Source organism: Homo sapiens, chromosome 12, assembly GCF_000001405.40.
Source record: "Homo sapiens chromosome 12, GRCh38.p14 Primary Assembly".
Lineage (NCBI taxonomy): Eukaryota > Metazoa > Chordata > Mammalia > Primates > Hominidae > Homo > Homo sapiens.
In genome coordinates, this window is record NC_000012.12 from 18,999,824 (window position 1) to 19,008,742 (window position 8,919).

At 37.4% G+C, this 8,919-nt stretch overlaps 1 annotated feature.

Annotated features, from left to right (window-relative positions):
- Positions 5,638–6,139: an enhancer, noted in NCBI's record as "NANOG hESC enhancer chr12:19158395-19158896 (GRCh37/hg19 assembly coordinates)". NCBI's record gives its function as "activates a minimal SCP1, AML or CMV promoter by ChIP-STARR-seq in primed H9 embryonic stem cells {active_cell/tissue: H9 hESC(primed)}" and the evidence as "EXISTENCE:reporter gene assay evidence [ECO:0000049][PMID:30033119]".

Genomic DNA, 8,919 nt, shown 5'->3' on the forward strand with positions numbered 1-8,919 from the left:
ACCATGCCCGGCCCAACTCTTCTAGTTCTTTATCCAAGTGGAATCTAAGGAGAGAGCATAATGATTACTGGAATTCCAGGACCTTTAGTGGAACAATAACCTGAGTCATGCTGAATTACTAATCAGTAGCAACCTTTATGTAGACCAAGAACAGCATTATCATTGCATACATTAGCAACAGAAGATTCCTCAAAATGAAAGAACTTTCCTTCTTTGATGTTAGACACATGGACGGTTAAATGTTAAAAGAAAACACGATATAAATTTTTAATTCTCAGAGCAGTCAGGTCAATAGTTATGAATTAATTAATTATTATTAGCATCATTTAAAAAATTTACCCGGCAAATATTATATGCAACACTGTGCCTGGCACCACAATGGAGAACAGACAATGGGCTGCCTCAAGGAATGTACAAAGTAGTTGAGAAGGCAAGACACATTCATATGGAAATACTGCCAACAGTACAAAATAGTATGCAAGAAATGTCAGAATAAATAGGACAGGAAATGTGACAGAAAAAGAAGAGCCATTATTGGGTCCTGGAAACTGTTCATCTTCAGTCTCACATTGGATGTTAGGATCTGAGTTGAACTTTATGGTTTAAATAGAATTTATTAGGTTGAATTATACGAAAACATATGTCATTCTTATAGGTCAAAAATGTTGAATATCAGGAATTTTTTTTTTTTTTTTTTTTTTTTTTTTTTTGAGACGGAGTCTCGCTCTGTCGCCCAGGCCGGACTGCGGACTGCAGTGGCGCAATCTCGGCTCACTGCAAGCTCCGCTTCCCGGGTTCACGCCATTCTCCTGCCTCAGCCTCCCGAGTAGCTGGGACTACAGGCGCCCGCCACCGCGCCCGGCTAATTTTTTTTTTTTTTTGTATTTTTAGTAGAGACGGGGTTTCACCTTGTTAGCCAGGATGGTCTCGATCTCCTGACCTCATGATCCACCCGCCTCGGCCTCCCAAAGTGCTGGGATTACAGGCGTGAGCCACCACGCCCGGTTGAATATCAGGAATTTTATATGGTCCAACCCAAGAGCTAGGTGAGTCTCTTTTGTACATGAAAAAGCAAGGATGGACTCTGCAGCAATGGGGCACATTAGAAGTAGAAACCCATGGCCACGCACAGCGGCTCATGCCTATAATCCCAACACTTTGGGAGGCCAAGGTGAGCAGAGTGCTTGAGCCCAAGAGTTCAAGACCAGCCTGGCCAACATAGTGAGACCCCTGTCTCTACAAAAAAGACAAAAATTAGCTGAGCATGGTGTTGTGCACCTGTAGTCCCTGATATTCTGGAGGCTGCAGTGGGAGGATCACTTGAACTCAGGAGGTCAAGACTGCAATGAGCCAAGATTGTGCCACTGCATGCCAGCCTGGGTGGCAGAGAGAGAGAGAGAAAAACTCTGTCTAAAAATAAAAATAAAATGAAAAAAATTTTAAGTAGAAAACCATACACTAAGTTTCAGTGCCTGACACAAAGTTGTATAGCACTCTCTGTTTTCAGTTATTTACTTAAAAAAGAAATAAATGCCAGCTGGGCGCAGTGGCTCACGCCTGTAATCCCAGCACTTTGGGAGGGCAAGGTGGGCAGGTCACCTGATGTCAGGAGTTCAAGTCCAGCCTGGCCAACATGGTGAAACCCCGTCTCTACTAAAAAACAAAAATTAGCCAGCCATGATGGCAGGTGCCTGTAATCCCAGCTACTCGGGAGGCTGAGACGGGAGAATCACTTGAACCCGGGAGGTGGAGCTTGCAGTGAACCGAGATCACGCCACTGCACTACAGCCTGGGCGACTGAGTGAGATTCTGTCAAAAAAAAAAAAGGAAGAAATGTATGAAATATCACCACAAAGAGAATTACTTTGAGTCAGGAGCTCCACATCTGTCACTGAATCCTCTCAATAATCCTGTAAGGTACATATTTCCTCATTTTCTACATGTAGAAACTGATGGTCAAAAAAAAACCTTGCCAGGTCACACAGTAGTAAAGAGGGGAGTTGGGATACAAACAAATCTGACGCCTTCACTTTACGCCGTATTGAAGGAGAAAGCTAATACTTGCCTCCCTGTAAAAATAGACCCCAGCTTGGAAAGCACAGGATTCAGTTGATCAAGTTACTGTGTTTCCCCCAAATCATCTAAAATTCTGTGTTCTGTATTAGTGGGAGGTTCAGTCAACAATTGTAAAAAAAAGTGCCAATATTATTAATAAAATTAGTAATTATTCAAAAAATAACTAAGTAATCGGTGTTTGCAGATATCTTTCAGGCAAAGACAATTTTTCCTAACTTAGTACACTCAAAATTCTATAGATCCTATTCAATATATGCATGGGAAATGACATTTTCCATATCTATTCAGTATTTTGAATTGTGCCTTAGGTTAAAAAAAAGATTAAGATGAGCCCTGTAGCTTTCTTACATACTAAAAAGATCAATAGTGAGACTATTTTTGCTTTAAATTCTTTTAAAAGAATTCTCATATTGTTTCCAGCTAGGTTCTCTATCCATGTGATGTCTGGCTGGAAAAATAATCCTGCCCTCTGCAATTCTTAGTGTGCCCTCGATTGCGTAACACATTAGATAGTGTGATACTCAAGAGAAGGATTTCAAACACATCAAAGCGATTTCACTAAAATCAAGAATCCCTATGCATAAGGTTGATATGTTCTTATGCTTTAAAATAGTTTCTATTTTTCCTAGAGCTATGTTAAATGTCTTCTAACTAATTATGAGAAATTAGATTCTTCTCATCATGGTATATTTGCAATTCAACTCAAAGACACAGAAGAGCTGCTAAACGTTTAGAACTTTTTTCTTTTTTAATTAAGTTTCTTTTACATTAATCTTTTGATTGTTTTCAGAAATCTAAGATGTTTCCAAATCTTCATTTATAGTAAGGTCTATTACTTAATAAGTATTAAGACCTTGGAAACCTACTCTCTAAAAGATGATACTGAAAAATAAATGATCTAGTTAGCTAATTTTGTATTAAGGAACTAGAAATAAAAACTACCTTTTTTAACCCTGTTATAAAATAATGTAAAATTACTTTCCTCTAAAGATATAAACTATATCTTAGGGATTTCAGAGAAATCTAAATAGTGCACGCACAGGATAGAGACCATTGCCTCATTTAAAAAATATTCTTCATATATTGATTATTCTTTAACATATAGATGATTTAACTTTTCTCTCTCCACCAAAAGAATTCTGACACCAACTATCCTCTCATAGACAAATTATCTCACTACATCTGAAAACCTTTGAATAATTATTGTTTCACTGCCTCTGAAAACCTTTTAAATGTCTCATCTTGCTCACCATTGGTGAGCTTTGAAATATAAATCACACAAACTTTTAAATGCACTGATTATGCAAGGCATTTGTTCAGTCGTTTAGAAATTAGCAGTCACTGCCTCTACTTCCTCTTTACTCATTCACTCCTTATTCCAACACAAGCTGGCTCCTTTTCCCATCCAACAACCTCCTTATCGTCACTTATGACCACTTTTGGACTTTACTCAGAGCTCAACCTTTTTAATTTCTCAGCCACATTTTATACAACTGATCCCTTCATTCTTCTTTCTCTCTCTTCTCCTTTGGCTTTGATAAAGCTTTGCTCTCCTTGTTCTTCTGTGTTTCATTTGTATCTGTTCTTTCTCCCTTAACCAGCTAAACAAATTATCCTATTAGAGCTTCAGGTTTCACCTGCATCCAGAATGGCACCAAATCTGTCTCTAGCTGAGAACACTCTTAATATACAGAACCAAATATTTGCGTGCCCACCTTATTTCTCCCCCAATCTGTCCTTTCTCCTCCTTTGACTCGACATTTCCCTAGTGAGAATCCTGTTATTCTCCCCTCAGACACCCAACCCACATGATCTATTTCTGTTAATGATATACTAACTTTCCAGTCAATCTATACTAACTTTCCAGTCAATCTGACACACAAGTGCAGAGTGGTCTTCATTCTTCCTCCTTTGACCCCTACTTCAAATCAGTCAAATTCACAATATCTTTCAAACCTCTGTCTTCTTTTCTAACACTATTCCTGAACAGGGTTTTTTCTGATTTTATTTTAGTGATTTGTGTAATGCCTTTTCTTTTTTTCAAAAGTGTATGCTCTAAAAAGAAAGGGATGGTGTTTTATGCATACAGGATAATCCTTTGGCTGTGCCATTAAATGCTGGAAGGGCAGTACGCTCCAGAATTCCTACAAAGAAGGGGTTTAGAGCTGGAAATCTGGGAGGAAAGGGAGGGAAGGCATTGGAAATTTCATTTAAAAGACAATTGCATGGTTAGCATACCATTTTCACTTGGGCTACGTGGGTGGCTTTGGGATTCTGACAAAGATTTTGGGAGCTACAAAAACCCTAGATCTCTTAGCACTGCCTCAACTGGGCAGCCCATTGCCCAAAAGTAAATTTTACCAAGAGAAGATCAGAGGTAAATCCAGCTTCCGAAGATGGTAAAAGGAGCCCTTTTTGTTTTCCTAGAGGCACTGCCAGTCCCTATTGAGCCCAGCTCAAAGGGCTGTCAGGCTCTCCTCTTTGTCTCCTTCTCCCTTTCTTTCTTTCTCTCACAGTTCTCTTACTCACTTGCCCTCTTCGCCCTAGTTCCACTTCTCACTCATCTCAACCAGTGTCTCCTTTGCAGAAAGAAGGGACAAAGGGAAACTGCTTCTCTCTGCCCAGAGCCAGATGAAACTCCTTCATCTGACTGCATAGTGCTGATGCATTATTCTAAGGAACCTCAGTCTCTTATCTCCAATTTACCATTTTTCTGCTCTCCAAATTTGGAATAAATCAGAACTGCAGGAGGGGAGAGTAAGCACTTCACCCAAGAGGATTAAGGATTTTAAAAACCCATCCTACAATTCACATACTCACACAAAATTTAACATAGTGACTAACACAAATAAATATTTGATAAGCAAACTAACAGATATGTTCTCTGTAAAGGTCCATAGAAGAAATGGAAAGAGTCTAAAAACCAAATATACTAAATTCTAATTAATGTGTAATGCTTTGTAAAATACAATAAAAGAATTTAATCATTTTTCCTTGAATTAATGGTGTCTTCCTAATGAGTCTAAGTTGTTAATGAATTTGGCTTAGCTCTCGTAAAATCAATGAAGCATTTCTATCAAATCAGTATTCAGAGTGTGTGCCCATTGATTTCAACATAATGCTTTATATGTGAACTACGAAAACACAGTTATTTACAACCCAGTGCTCAAAGGTTCCTCACTTGAGAAGATTAAGAAAAATGCTGATGTTTTAGAGATAGTCCAAAATATAGAGTTCTAAATGTCACCAAATAGGATATAAAGCCGTATACCAGGCATTTTGGTAAACCACGTTCTATGTTTCCACTAGATAAACCAACTAGGGTAAATGTTACACAGTTGAGATTGGATTTGTTTGGTTGGCAACAGCCATCCCTCCTTCAGCAACCATTTATAGGGGCCAAATAGGGACAGAAGAGAACAGTTTTGTGTGTGGATGCTTGGTCCAAAAAAAAAAAACACAAAGCACAGTATCTAGTTCATTTAATACCCTGCCCTAGGGACTCACTCTGAACCATAATACAGAAAAAAGGCTGCAGAGAAAGGTTGAAGTGGCTGTTTACACAAAGAACTTTGTGAGATTAGCACCAGATTAACAATCTTCAAGGCAGAGCTGGGGAAAGGGTATTTTATCATTTCTGCAAACAACATAGCATGGCTCCAGTGTTGCAGTAAAAATGGAGAGGAATCCAGTAGTCTTCGGCAAGGTGGAGATTTTGCAGCTTGGGGAGCGCTGTAAGAAAGTATGCTGGATAGAGAAGTGCCATTTGCACAGAGGTCACTGTAAGGCAGCTTGCGCCCAGCAGCTCTCAAAAACACTTAAATGCAATAGCGCTAGAGTGATTTTGTGAATACATGTGAATCCCAGGAATGGCTAGGGAGTTTTACAGGTTGTACCAGTGGTAATCAGCCAGCTAACAAAATAAAGATATATGCTAACATGGCCTCATTTGTAACTAAAGCCGCCGAAATTTGGGGATATTTAGAATATAGTCATAAATACGTAAATGAAAGCACTTCTGATTCAAAGTTAACCATTCTAATTGGTATGTGTACAATTTCACTTAACAGTCTGAAGTTTTCAGGTATTTGGACGCCAGAACATCACCTTTAATTTGATACATATCTCTCCTTTCTTGATTATTCATCCTACCCAAACTGAAAACAGCAAAACACATTTATTGAGAGTTCTCTTTTCGAGAAACTACATTGAGCAGTGTAGAAGAATAAAAAATGGAATAAACAATGTTCCCTCAATGAACACAAAATGTATTTGGGGATACGAGATGACACATAAAAGACAATTAAAATAGGTTAAAAACATATGTTTATATGCACATAAAATACTTCTGGAAGAATTTGTAAATACAGTGGTTTTGTCTACAAAGGAGGACTTTAAGACAGGGGTAGATGTGAAACTTTCTTTTCACTCTTAGCCATTTGCACAATTGGAACTTTTTTGCCAACCTCTTTCAAGAAAAAAAAATAATTGAGTTGTATTTTTCTAAAGTACAAAATGGAGGATTATTAAAACCTAGCTGTAACCTGAACAAAAGCACAGACGTTTTGAGTCAGACAAACATGACATTGTTAACTGAGCTAAAGCCAATTGAGCCTTTCAGAATTATCTGGTTCTTTTTGGTAAATGTCTGTGATCTCTGGCACTTAACAGTAGATGAGAACTCTACCCACAGTCTTACCAAAAGATAGGATGTTATAATAAAGGCAAATCTCAGACCAAATATTGTGGCAAATGCAAATTTTTATTAGGAAACAGGCACTAAAAATGCCATACAACCTCTAAGGTTGGTGAAGTCCCATCTCAGATGTTAGGCCCTCAAACATCTGTCTTGCAAGAATGTGGGAATATTTTAGCATTAGAATCAGCTAATCTTCTACTTGAATTAGACAACGGCATTTTCCATTAAGTGGTAGATGGATTAAATGGAATCCTTGGCCTGAGGGCTTCTTCAAAGAGCTTTAGGCCAATGGGCTCCTTAGTTCTTATTAATATGTAATATTATGATGCAATATTGTTATGCAACATTTATAGAGGTGTCTTTATATGATTTTGGGTCAACAAACATATTTTAAATACCACTTATTTCACCAACTAACAATGATTTCCAACAGAGGCAGCACAGTATGATGATAAAGAATGTAGGCTCTGCAGTCAGGCTGTCTGGGTTCAAATCTGTCTGTACCACTTACTAGCCACATAACCTTGAACAAGTTATTTAAACTCTCTGTGCCTCTTTTCTCTCATCAGTAAAATAGGAATCATAACTATGCCTACCTTGTAGAGTTATTATGAGAATTAAATGAGATGATATTCGCAAATTGCTTAGATCAGGGTCTGGCATATAATAAATGTTCTATGAGTATTTATAAATATATTAAATAAGTAACCTTTATGTTAATTAGTGAACTCTCTAGCAATGATTCTGATAGTAATATCAGGTTTTCTTGCAGCCTCGTGAGATACATACAGATAGTGACACCATGTAGAATAAAGGGAAGGTATGATTACTGATCATTATGAAATTCTAGGTTTCCCTAAGAATTAGTGTTCCCTTCTGTAATACAACCTCCTGCATATGCAGGTGTTATTGGCCCTCTTAGTGTCACCCTGTGGTAACTAGATTTTGGGGAACTGCTGAAAAAATGCTGATACTTTACTGCTATTGCTGTGAGTAATGAACTCTCCATCTCTGACTGAGAGTCTTGTGTCTTCTGCAGCATCCATGAAACTATAGCAGATAAACTTAAGTTGCAAGTAGGGTAAAATCTCAGCCCTTCACATTCTTGACAATTTTAATGGTATATTATTAGCCAATGTATGCCAATACGTTAGAAAAATTAGATGAAATCAACAAACTTCTTGAAAGATACAGCCTACCAAATTGCTTCATGACATTGGGAAAAGCAGATCTTTCTTGAACACGTCACAAAAAACACTGCCCTGCAGAGGAAAAATAAATAAATTAGACTTTAAAAAATTATGATTTTTGCTATTTGAAAGACATCATCAAGAAAATGAAAGGGCAAGGCACAGACTGGGAGAAAATATTCATAACTGATATGTCTCACAAAGTACTTGAACCCAGAATACATAAAGAACACTTCCAGCTCAGCACGAAGTCAAACAACTAAATTTTTTTAATGGGCTGAATATTTAAACAAAAATTTACAAAAAGACATATGAATGCCTAAGAAGCACATGAAAATATTCCCTACATCATTAACCATCAAGGAAATGAAAAATAAAACCATAGTGGGCTGTAACTACATTTCCCTACAATGACTAAAATTGAAAAGACTGGCAATACCGTCTGTTGGCAAGAATGTGAAGCAACAGGAACTTTGATAAATTTTTGATGGAACTGTGAAATGGTATACTCACTTAGAAAACTAATTTGTTGGTTTCTTATGGGGGTTAAATGTATACTTACCATATGACTCAGAATTTCTACTCCTAGGCATTTTCCCAAGAGAAATAAAAACATTTGTAAATATGTAAACGTCTACAAAATTTTTTATAGCAGCCTTATTCAAAATAGCCAAAAAATGGAAACCAAAGAACATCAAAAGGTGAATAGGTAGACAAATTGCGCTATACCCATATAATGGAATACTATTTAGCATTAAAAGGAAAGAACTGCTAATGTACATGCTGCATGAATAAATCTCAAAACCATGATGCTGAGCAAAAAAAGCCAGAAACCAAAGTGAACATACTGTATGGTTCCATTTACACAAAATTTTATTTTATTGTATTTGTTTGAGATGGAATTTCACTCTTGTTGCACAGGCTGGAGTGCAATGGTACCATCTTGGCTCACTG